The sequence below is a fragment of the Homo sapiens genome, chromosome 1 (genome assembly GCF_000001405.40).
Source record: "Homo sapiens chromosome 1, GRCh38.p14 Primary Assembly".
NCBI lineage: Eukaryota > Metazoa > Chordata > Mammalia > Primates > Hominidae > Homo > Homo sapiens.
The window spans coordinates 191,510,682-191,524,186 of NC_000001.11; the positions used below are offsets into that span (position 1 = coordinate 191,510,682).

Genomic DNA, 13,505 nt, shown 5'->3' on the forward strand with positions numbered 1-13,505 from the left:
TTCTTATCCTTGATGTATCTTAACATTTTCTCATAGTGTGCATTCCATAGCCTTTTTGGGGTTGCATTTCAGGTAATTTTTATGGGATATGTTACAGTCTACAGATACTTTTTTTCAGCTGTGTCTATAATGTAGCTAACAGACCACTGATATATTTAGTTTTCATTATTGTATCTTTTCTTTTTTTCTGTCATTTATCCCTAAATTTACATGGCCATGTTTTATAGTTTGTGGCAAGAAGAGGCAAAAAGCAAAAATGACCATGAGTTTGCACCATCCAGATATATATATCTGTAACAGGATATTCAGGATTTGTAACAGGATTTTCAAGAACCTCTCATCAAAGATTGTAATCTATTTTTCCAAAATGTGAAAATGGGTTGGTCTTCTGAATTGTTTTGGCCAGTGAGACAGTGACAAACATCATAGAAGCAGAGACTTGAGAAGTCCCTCTTTCAAGTCTTGTTAAAATTCTGCCATGTGAATAAATTGAAGGTATTCTGCTGGAAGTTAGACAACAGACTGTTGAGAAAAACAGTCTGTTGAATATAGTTCATCGACTCTACTAAATTTTCAAGTAGTTTGTTTGTCAGTAAAATCTAACTGATGTAAGTCTTTGTTTCTTTTTTACATAACTTGCTTTCCTTCCATTTCTTTAACACGGAATTCTAGATACATTTCAGTCTATATATGAGAATTTCAAAGTTCAATAAATTCTTATCTATTATACCCCACTGTTTGTTTGTTTGTTTGTTTGTTTGTTTTCCCCTACTGGTTCTTACATATGGTGCTGTTAATTTTTTTTTTTTTTTTTTTTTGAGACGGAGTGTCATTCCCAGGCTGGAGTGCAGTGGTGCAATCTTGGCTTACTGCAACCTCTACCTCCTGGGTTCAAGTGATTCTCCTGCCTCAGCCTCCTGAGTAGCTAGGATTACATGCCATCTGCCACCACGCCTGGCTAATTTTTGTCTTTTTAGTGGTTTCACCATGTTGGTCAGACTAGTTTCGAACTCCTGACCTCAAGTGATCCACCCACCTCAGCCTCCCAAGGTGTTGGTATTACAGGTGTGAGCCACTGCATCTGGCCACTGTGATCTATTTTTGTTTCTTTGTTTGCTTGTCTGTTTTATTTTTAATTGTGAGTCTATGTTCCTTGAACTTTATAAGTGAAATGCTCTGAAGTCTGGATTTAAAAAGTCATTCCTCCAAAGAGGATGTGTGCTTGCTTCTTCCAATTACCTGAGAGACTTACAATAAAAGAATATTTCAGATACAAATTTTAACTTGAAATTTTTAAGAATCACACAATGGCCATTACATCTTTATGATTTGCTGGGGAGATATTTTATTTGTTTGCTTTGTTTCTGTGTGGTCTCCCAACACTAAAGTTAAGATGCAAGTTTTGTATTGCAAGTTATGTTTATTTTTCATTCACAATTATACTGAGAATGTTATATTAGGAAAAATTGTATCTACATGGGCATCTGCTATTAGACTTCCTGCATTGTACAGGTACTAAGCTATAGTTTCTATCATCTGTAACTCATGCAGTCCTCAAAACAGAATTTCATTGTATCTTCAGTGCTATGGACTGAGTTTTTGTGTCCTTCCAAAATTCACGTGTTGGAACCTCATCCCATAGTGTTGATATTTTAAGGTGAGGATTTTAAGAAGTGATTAGGTTATGAAGGTAGAGCCCTCACAAATGGGATTAGTGTCCATATAAGAAGAGCTATAAAAAGATGATCTCTCGGCCGGGCGCGGTGGCTCACGCCTGTAATCCCAGCACTTTGGGAGGCCGAGGCGGGCGGATCACGAGGTCAGGAGATCGAGACCATCCTGGCTAACACGGTGAAACCCCGTCTCTACTAAAAATACAAAAAATTAGCCGGGCGTGGTAGCGGGCGCCTGTAGTCCCAGCTACTCGGGAGGCTGAGGCAGGAGAATGGCGTGAACCCGGGAGGCGGAGCTTGCAGTGAGCCGAGATCGCGCCACTGCACTCCAGCCTGGGCGACAGAGCGAGACTCCGTCTCAAAAAAAAAAAAAAAAAAAAAAAAAGATGATCTCTCTCTCAGCCATGTAAAGATACATGTTGTGGGAAGTCAGGGACTCCAAATGGAGGGACCAGCTGGAGCCAAGGCAGAGAAACATAAATTGTGAAGATTTCATGGACATTTATCAGTTCCCAAATAATACTCTTATAATTTCTTACACCTGTCTTACTTTAATCTCTTAATCCTGTTATCTTTGTAAACTGAGGATGTGTGTCACCTCAGGACCACTATGATATTTGTGTTAACTGTACAAATTGATTGTAAAACATGTGTGTTTGAACAATATGAAATCAGTGCACCTTGAAAAAGAACAGAATAACAGCAATTTTCAGGGAAAAAGGGAAGACAACCATAAGGTCTGACTGCATGCGAGGTTGGGCAAAATGGAGCCATATTTTTCTTCTTGCAGAGAGCCTATAAACAGATGTGCAAGTAGGGAAGATATTGCTAAATTCTTTTCCTAGCAAGGAATATTAATAATTAATACCCTGGGGAAGAAATGCATTCTGGGGGGGAGATCTATAAATGGCAGCTCTGGGAGTGTCTGTCTTATGCGGTTGAGATAAGGACTGAAATAAGCCCTGGTCTCCTGCAGTACCCTCAGGCTTACTAGGATTGGGAAACTCCATCCTGGTAAATTTGTGGTCAGACCGGTTCTCTGCTCTCAAACCCTGTTTTCTGTTGTTTAAGATGTTTATCAAGACAATACATGCACCACTGAACATAGACCCTTATCAGTAATTCTGCTTTTGCCCTTTGCCTTGCGATCTTTGTTGGACCCTTATCAGTAGTTCTGATTTTGTCCTTGTCCTGTTTCCTCAAAAGCATGTGATCTTTGTTCTGCTTTTGCCCTTTGAAGCATGTGATCTCTGTGACATACTCCATGTTCTTACACCCCCTCTCCTCTTGAAATCCTTAATAAAAACTTGCTGGTTTTGCAGCTCAGGTGGGTATCATGGTCCTACCAATATGTGATGTCACCCCTGGAGGCCCAGCTGTAAAATTCCTCTCTTTGTACACTTTTTCTTTATTTCTCAGCCAGCCAACACTTACGAAAAATAGAAATAACCTACATTGAAATATCTGGGGCGGGTTCCCCCAATAGATACAGTGAGTAGGTAGGTGGCTGTCTATAAGACAGGAAGTGGGCCCTGAACAGACAGGGGATATGCTGGTACCTTGTTCTTGGATGTCTCAGCCTCCAGAACTCTAAGAAATTAATGCTTGTCATTTATGCCACCTAGTCTATGGTAATTTGTTTTAGCAGCCCAAACTGACTAAGACATAAGGTCCATAGGGAATCTCTGATAGAAACTGTCTTGATAATTGATTACCTCTTAGAGTTCCTACTTTTGCAATGTTTCTAGCCCCTGCAAGTTTGTTCTTTTGTGACAACATAAAACTGCACTTAAATGTATTCATAGGAGAATAGTTTATGATTTATTTTTAATAATATTGTCACTAATGGGTAACTCATTCTCATATAATATGCTCTGCTAGATAATGTATAATAGAAATCATTGATTTCTTCCATTACTTTTGCATTCTCATGTGTTCACTGTGTACACCCAGTTTTGTCTATAATCATATTATTTAGGTTAGCATATTTCATTTATTATATACATGTGATCACTCCATGTACAAACTCTTTAGACAACAACATTGCAAAAGGTTCAAATGTCCCAAACTCTCATGCCATTCACTTGCAGTGATGCTTGACAAGCCAACCTAATCAATCATTTTGTTTAATAACTTTTCTATAGGTTTCTTCCTAAATATAAGGGAAGAGCAATATACAGGGAAAAAGTGAAGGCACATTAATTTGCTTAACTATTTTGCTTAGGGCTGGCACTACATATAATAGTGTATATATTTCATTAAGTAGAATAATAAAAAATCAAATGCAATTAACTGAACTAATATGAAGGGACAAGATAAATGCTATATCCTAATAGAATCCCAATGCTAACAACTTCAAGCTCTAGCTGTCTTATTTGTGGATTAGAGCAAATAAAGTTAAGCTAAAGAACCAACTAATAGATGATTAATGTTCTTTATTAAATTAGATGAAAGCATATAACAATGTTAGTTATTAGCAAGTCACTGGAGTGGAGAAAAAATAGAAACTTTGGCAGGGATAATTTTTCTGAAGTTTTATTTTATAAAGATAATGACTATAATTACCCAGAGAAATGGAATTTTGTCCATTATTGACTAATTTTTTCTATGATTTTATATGAAAATATAGTTTATTATTTAGGGTTGCTTCTGCAAATTGATAGCATGCTGCACCTAGGTTACACTTCCGTGTACATAGCACACATTACATTTAAGATTTTTATGATCTCATTAGAAAAGCCTTTATAGGTAACTTTGATTTAAAATAGATGTTTGGGATGGCATTACCCAAATAATTTGTCATTTTCCTGTTTTAACATTATCTTTTATAACATTATAAAATAATTCTCTTTTTCATAAAATTAATCACATGACAAGACATAGAAAACCAAATTCTCCTCAGTATTATATCTGAGAATCTACACTAGTGCATAATTATATGTAATCAAACAAATAATTTAGAGTGTCCCAGAGGAAGATTAAGATGTCTTGGTGCTAGAATAGTCTCCAGGTTTATAGTATAGGACGAATATTATAATCCACATTAAATAAAATGAAACACTACCTATGCAAGTACTTGAATGTTATTTGATTCTTCTGCTTTCACTCATCCCCCAATCTTCTGGAGATTATGAATAAATGGTACAAGAAAAGGAGAGTACATCTTCTTTAGTAAATATGAATGCATACTGAGTAAACAAGTTTTTACATTACATCGTATAAGTGTGTGTGTCTGTGTGTGTATGGAGAGAGAAAGAAACAGCCAAGGCATCATTACTGTTATTGCCTTAAAGTTAGCTATCTTTAAGTAATTTTTAAAATTATCTTTAAAGTTAGTTATTTTAAGAGCACTATTTTATATTATATATATTACATATAAACTTATGTAGAGATACATGTATGAGTATATATATATACATGGACATATGTATATACACATATGTAAACATACACAAATTATGTATAACCTTCAGACATTCACTTATTCCACTCCAAATGATCTTTATTTCTCTGTGTATATTCAGGATTCTGATGTTACAAAAATGATCTTGCCAACAGAACTTTAACCCATTTTGTACGGTAGGTGTCTTAGCCCATTTTCTGTTGCTATAACATAATACCACAGACTAGGTAATTTACAAAGAAAATAAATTTGTATCTTATCCTTCTGGAGGCTGGGAAGTCCAAGGTCTAGAAGCTGCATCTTGTGAGAGCCTTCTTGGTAACTAGGACTCTCTGCAGAGTCCCTGGGCAGGAGAGGGCATCACAAAGCAAAGGGACTCACAAGAGAGCCAATCTGACTTTTATAACATACCTAGCCTCTTGATAACTAACCCACTCTCATGATAACCCATAACCAATAAATCCATTAATTCATTAATTCATTCATGAGAACAGAGCCCTTATGACCCAATCTCCACTTAAAGCCTCCACCTCTCAATACTATAAAATTGGGGATTAGTTTTCAACATGAGTTTTAGAGGAGACAAATATTCAAACCACAGCAGACCTACTGCTATGAAACTTAGATATAGAGAAATTTACATATAAAGAAAATATCCTTCAATAGTGGAGAAATAAAGACGTTTTCAGGCATATAAAATGTGAGTCAATTTGTCTCACATTTTATTGTTTGTGTGTGTGTGTTTTTTCCTGAGATTCTAATTACACACATTATGTCATTTATTATTGTCTCATAGCCCTTGAATGTTCTGTTCTTTAGTTATACTCATTTTTTTTTTTTTTTTTTTTTGTGAGACAGTTTCACTCTGTTACCCAGGCTGGAGTGCAGTGGTACAATCTCGGCTCACTGTAACCTCCATCTCCCAGGTTTAAGTGAAGCTTGTCCCTCAGTCTCCAGATAGTTAGGATTACAGGCGTGTGCCACCATGCCCAACTAGTTTTTGTATTTTTACTAGAGACAGGGTTTTGCCATATTGGCCAAGCTAGTCTTGAACTCCTGACCTCAAGTGATTCACCCACCTTGGCCTCCCAAAGTGCTGGGATTACTGGCATGAGCCACTGTGCCTGGCCAGTTATACTCATTTTTTTTCTTGAATTTCAATTTCAGTAAATCTGTTGATATATCTTCAGGTTTACTGAATTTCTTGAGCTTTGTCAAATTTACTGATGAGCTTTCATGTGGTTAGGTTTTACATCCCCATCCAAATCTTACTGGGAATTGTAACTCTGAGGTGTTTAGAGAGGGACCTGGTGGGAAGTGATTGGATTATGGGGGCTGTTTCCCCCATGTTGCTCTCATGATAGTGAGTGAGTCCTCAGGAAATCTGATGGTTTTATAAATGGTAGGTTTTTCTGCATTGACACACACTCACTCTCGCCTGCTGCCATGTTAGACATGCTTTTGCGTCTCCTTTGCCTTCCACCATGATTGTAAGTTTCTGGAGGCCTCCCCAGCCATGTGCGACTGTGAGTCAATTAAACCCCTGTTCTTTCTAAATTACCCAGTCTCAGGTATTTATTTATGGCAGTGTGCTAATGAACTAACACAAGCCTGTTAAAAGACTTCTTCATTTCTTTTACTGTGTTTTTATAACTAGTGTTTCTATTTATTCTTTCTTATAGTTTCCATCTCTTTGATTAAATTATCTATTTGATTTGGCATATTGCAGACCTTTACTATTGGTCTTTAACACACTAAAAATAGATATTTCAAATTCTCAGTCTTTTAAATAACTTTCTTTTTTTAAAATTTATATCATACTCAATTCTGGTTATAGTATATTTTTTTTCATCTTTTCAGACTGTGTTTGTTTTTGTTTGTTTTGTTCTTTAGCAAATCTTATAATTACTTGTTGAAAGCCAGATATTTTACATAGGAGCATATGTATATTGAGGCAAACAAGATTTTTGTTAAAAAGTCAGAAGTAAAAGATGTAATCAAGGGCAAAGTATATGTTAAATATGTGAGTACATCCTATGGCTATTGGCTGCTGACTGTATAAAAAGTAATAATATATGTTTAGATTATAAAAAATAAAATTATATTACCCAGTAAAATTTCATAAGATGAGAGATTTAAAAGCAAAGTGATCTGAGAGACTGATGTTGGGGAGAACATGAAATATATTGATTAACTTAGATTATGTGTTAAATAGGCATAATGTAATTTCTGTTGTTACCACTAGAGCAGAAACAGAGTATAAAGATTCCAAACTAGTAAAGGAGAAAAATAGAAACAAACAAACAAACAAACAAACAAAAAAACTCACTTGATCCCTGAAGGGGTAAAAAAGCAGGGCAATAAAAAGTAGAACATGTGAGGCAACTGAAAGGCCAAAAATAAGTTGGTAAATATGACCTTCAAATATCTACTTACATTAAATGGACTAAAATTCCACTTAAAAAACTGATAAATGAAAAATTAATCCAAGTTCTCTGTAAAACCACACCCTAATTCATAAGGACAGAGAAAAAAGTTGAGTGTAAAAGTAAAAGAGGGTAAAATATGTAAACACTAACCAAAAGAAAATAGCATAGCTTTATTAGTAACAAACATATTAGATGTTTGTATAAAAAATACTAGCTAGAAGAAGCTATAGTTCATAGAACAAGGATTACAAATAGATAACAAACTCAACAAATTTTAAAAAGACATTCAAATTTTAAAAAGACATTGAATGTCTGTTTTTAAATCTTTTTCTTATGAATAAGGAAAAGGTAAATTGAAACCCCAATTGGAAACCATTTTACATTTATCTAATAGCAAAATGATAAATTCTGAATATGTTGTAGAGAATGTCAGCAAATGGGATGTTCCTTAGTCTGCAGTGAGGGGGTGTGTAAATCAAATGACCATATTAGAAAAAAAGTTTTTCTTTCTTTTTTATCCTTTTTTTTTTTTTTTTTGAGATAAGGTCTCACTCTGTCACCCAAGCGGGAGTGCAGTGGCAAGATCTCGAGTGACTGCAACCTCCACCTCCTGGGTTCAAGCCATCCTTCCACCTCAGCCTCCCCAGTACCTGGCACTACAGGTGCACACCACCACGCCTTGCTAATTTTTGTATTTTCAGTAGAAACAGGGTTTCACCATATTAGCCAGGCTGCTCTCAAACTCCTGACCTCAAGTGATCTGCCTGCTTCAGCCTCCCAAAGTACTAGAATTACAGGTAGGAGCCATGGCGTCCAGTCAGAAAACAGTTTTTCTTTACCCTGAAAAGTTAAGGTAAATTATATTACCATTATTTTATGACTTACGCATTCCACAGCTAGCAATATTTACTGGAATAAACCTCTTGAAATATTCACCTGGAATCAAATGCCATTAATAATAGCAGACTATTTATATTAACAAAAATAGAAACAACCAAATATATATCCAGAGTAGAAAAAATAAATAATTTCTGCTTTTATATATAATAAAATGCTATAGAGAAATAAAAATTACAGTTATATTCCAAAATAGCACTTCTTAATTTGTGGTCTGGGAACCTCTGGAGATTTCTGAGATCCTATCAGGTGACCACAGAATCAAGAGAAATATTTTCTTAACAATACTGAGAATATTATCAGGTTTTTTTTCACTCTCATCTTCTAATGAGCATAATGTAGATTTTTTAAAAATTACACAACATGTGATTACATCATTGCTTTGAAAGCTAATGGAATGTGCTCATGTATTAAGTCATGTGTGTTTCTAAATTTCTGTTTTTATTTACAGTATTACCAATTGTCTATTAAAAAAGTAACATCTAAGAACTTTATATCTAAATTGTGTTAACTCTACTGACTGCTAAGGGACCACTGATCAATGTTTTCACTGCCTGTAACTTATCATGTTTTACTTTAAAATAGGGTGGGTGAGATCATCAAAATACATGCATTCTAAATATCAAGTCAATCATTAGCTTAGCTCAGCCAAAGTACTCAAATACAAACTGGATACAGCATGTCTTAAATTATTCCTCCAAGAATATGCTTTATTTCTAGCAACTAAGGCATTCTTAACTTATGGAAAACAAGCACCATTAAATTCTTCAAATAACATAAATTAAGGTTAAGATCATCAAAAGGTATGATTCACTATGTGAATATTGTTAGAGCTCCAACCTAGTAATGCATTCACATTAAATTTTCAGGGAAGCTCACTGGTTTAAAAATAACATGTTTGCTTTCTACATACTTCCTCACTCTTATGTTGGTTGTTCAATATGAGTTAATGACATTACTTATTTAAAATGTTTCTGGCATTCTTACGGAGTTTTGTTTTTTCTATAGACAAAAGGAAGAAATATCTGGCGTGTTACTTATTTAAAGACTGAGGATTTAAAAGTGGGTACAGATACATGAATTATACATTTTAAACATAAGATTCTTATGATAAACATGCTTATGATTTCTAAACTTTATTTGTAAGCAGTGTAAATTAATAGAAAATTTACTGCATTATTTAAATTATGACCTTGAATCTTAGAGCAAGTTCACTAAAATAATGATTCAAACTACTTAAGATAATGTATGCGAAAGAACTTAACACAGTATCTGACACATAAAAGTACTCAGAAATTTTCTGTAAAAATTGAATGTTAAATTTATTATTTTAAGCAAAGATAGACACCAAAGGAATTATTAAGTAATTGTTATTCCGTATTAGGCTTTTATATCTATATTTACTTACTTATCTTGAAAGGGTACACAAGGTCTCTGGATCAGGGAAAACATTATTACTTACAGAGCAATGTAGTGCCAGTTCTCTGAGCAGTGTGATGTGATAAAAGCTTGATATTACCCTGCATGAGCATTGAAGTCGATCCACAGAACAGGAACCGCAGATTATGAGATCCAAAGCTTATTTGGAGAAACTGTCACATCTGCTCCTTCTTCCTTCTAGAGAGAAAGAGACCTTAGCCATGAAATATACACAAATCATCTGGAGAAAAGATGGGAAGGTCTCCAGGTTCTTATTACCCTTTTGGTAAATAAGGATAGGAGAGATAATGCTTTATATTCTAGAGGAATTTACTATCTATTTCTTCCAAAATGTTTCCTCTTTAAATATCTGACCATTTATTTTGCTAAATAAGCTCTAACTATGCAGAAATATGAAAATACTAGGAATAATTGTCTCTTAAAAATTATTTTATAAAACATTAAAAATGCTTAATTATATTTACAAAAGCTGGATATTTTGATCATTGTTAATTAATTCTTAATAAGTTCAAGCATTTTATGATGTAGAAAAAAACAGTTAAACCACTCAACTTAGACCCATTGTTCATAAAAGAAACTGATATCCAGAGATGTATAAGAACAAAAAGTTAGAATAGCCCAAGTTAAATATTTACAAGGCAGATCCACATAGGTAAAATAAACATAAAATTCCGCATGCTTATTATTATCAGCACCAAAACTATGCATTGTATGGACACTTAAAATTATGTTAATTCAGATTATTTTATTCCAGAAAGCTCTTCTACTCTGCCAGAGAGTTTAGCAGATAACATGAATGCAGCAAAATTCATTGTAATTTTTGCTTAAATGTGCTAGTACATGCAGTAAGTATATGAACATTTTTCATATTTAAAAATAAACACTACTCTAAAGAGAATTTTCATGTACTGGATGATACTTTTGATTGATTACCTAAATTAGCATTTACACCAACGTAAATTAATTGAAGCACAAATGTAATATAGGCTTCTTTGTTTTTAAGACTAGAGAAGGTTTCAACCAAATGCATCTTATTAAGCTTAAGAATTTGTTAAAATTTTTTCTATTTAATAGAAGAACATTAGAACTTTGAGTCTTTTCATTTAGTATTTTTTGAATATTATTTTCCCATTGTTTTAAACCCTCTAAGAAATGTAGGTTTTTAACTATAGTAAAATAATATTCAATGTTTAATAACCTTAAAAATTCAAAAATTTCTTCTGAATCATCATAAATGGTCAATCAATATACCATATAATGTTAGTGTTAAAGGAGCATTCTCTTCGAGTATTTATATTTAATATATGACATAAAAAATATTTAATTAATCAGAATATCTTAATACCTGATTTAAAAAATGAAAATAAAAGAGAAATTTTGAAAAACATTTTAGTGTTTAAGCTTATCAGAGGTTTAAAATTTTAATTACAGAGAGAAGCTCATGATAAAAATGTGATACTATATTTAATGTGCCCAGGTGCTTAGGATTTCATCAACTTTCTTTTTATTATGTGAACATTCTTCTATCATTCTCTCCATATTTTATTCTGGGAATGTGTTTTGATACTTATCTATCACAATGACAGCGGGCATTTTAATTTCAATTAGTCTGGTTCTCTGTTATTTTCCACAGGATGTAACAATGGATCCTCCTGAGATATATTCTCCAAGTGCATCCTTTTTTGTCTTATACCTGTAGGGACTTTGTGGGAAGCAGTTTAATTCTATCATTCCCATAAAATCACAGAACTTCTCCCTTAGGTTAAATATCAACTAAATCTTTAAAAGGATAAAGACAAAGAGCTTATGCATACTAGAGTCAGTGCGTAAATAGACACGAAGAACTTAAATTGAAAACCCTCGGGTACTCAGGATGTTAGGAAGTATTTAACAATAAAAACCTGTTAATAACATAGAAAACTCCCTTAGAACAGCAGGGTAGCCTATTTTAGTTACCCAATTGAAAATTGTTCCCTATCAGCCAAGATTAAAGCGGTCTATAAAAACTGTTTCTACAACCAGCATAGTACTTTAAAGAGTAGGAGAGAAGATAGAGGAAAGCGATGGAGATTCTCAAATATGTGAAGCAGATATTTTATAGGTCATGGCTTGAAGAAGAGCTATACCTTTCTAAATTTCAACATTTATGCAAATTTGTGCAGTGGTAGTTGGCGCAGAAACAACCATAGCAATAGAAAGCTTTTTGAAATTCCACAAATCCGACCACATTCTCCTTTTCTTAGAGTTCCGATTCGGTGAGAATGCACGCATAGTTATTGCTCTTAAGCAAGCTATTTGCATGTGGCAACTTGTTTAATAGTTACAACACCTTATAAGGTAGGTATTACTTTAATCATTTTGTTCATTTTAGAGATGAAAAGCTAAGATATAGTACACTTTCCTGGGTCACACAATAAAAAGGGGAATAGACGATGTCTGCATTTCACAGTACAATGTAAATACTCAGAGTGCCTTCACATCGAAAAACATGTAGATTCTACATAAAGTATATAGTAAAGCATTGATGCACTTGTATTGAAATCATAGTAAAACCTTAGATCACAATGCAATAACATAGAATTAAGTAAAAATAATTACAAGTCTCCCTTTGAAAACCCAGTAAGAATCACCTCCACCCCCAGCAATCTAACAAACAGCAAAAAACAAATTGAGGAGAAACTTGAGTCAGAAGCAATGTGAAATAAGGAAACGCTAAAAGTGAGGTTTCCGAGAAGACAAAGGCCAATATCAAAGATGTTCAGAATTTTTTTAAAGAAATTATACTTTCAATAATATAATACTTAGAGCACACAAATCATTGGAACAAAGAGAATTTCTAAAGTGTAAGATGATGCATTAAGCAAATGCAATCCAAATTGTATAGCTCACGAGGTAAACTACATTAATTAAATGTATAAACTATAAAATAGAAAAATAGTGTTATAAAGAGGATTACTAAATTATGATAATATTTGTCAGGAAAAATGTATAATTCTTAACTGGTATGCATCTAATAAAGTAGTTTCATGGATCTAATAGAGTAGTTTCAAAATACATAAAGCAAAAATTGATAGAACTCAAGAGAAAATGTGTAACCTATCAGGATAGCAAGAAATTTCAACATAATTTATCAATCATTCATGAGTTATTTGGAAAAAATACTGAAAGATACCCATAGAATTCTGAAATCAAAAATTAGATAATCTATATATTTATCTGTGTAAGAGTATACAATGCAAAAATCTTCTTTACAAATATCAGATTTTTATGCCAAATAATATATTCTTAGACCACTATGCAATGACAAATAATACAAATAAATTAATTAAATGTACCGTAGAGTTCTAAATAAGTCATGTATCAAAGAAGGAATTATCGTGGATATTAAAAAATAATTTGCTTAGTCTTACTGACCATAAATAAAAGAGAGAAGACTTAAAATAATAGGTTGAACATTTTTCTAGTTCTCTAGTTTTCCTTAGTTCCCTCCAACCTGCCTTATCCACTTCATTGTTATACCGAGAAATGGGTTTCAATTTTGTTACTAGATTTCTTGCTAAGACAACATCATGATCAGGTTATACATGCATACGCAATTACATAGGCACATATATATGAAAGAAGGTTCATCGAAAACACTCCCAACAGTAAGAAAACAAACAA

The 13,505-nt window shown here is 33.5% G+C and overlaps 1 annotated feature.

The window, feature by feature from the left end:
• Nucleotides 405-605: a silencer, noted in NCBI's record as "peak599 fragment used in MPRA reporter construct". NCBI's record gives its function as "represses an SCP1 promoter by STARR-seq MPRAs in K562 erythroleukemia cells {active_cell/tissue: K562}" and the evidence as "EXISTENCE:reporter gene assay evidence [ECO:0000049][PMID:32103011]".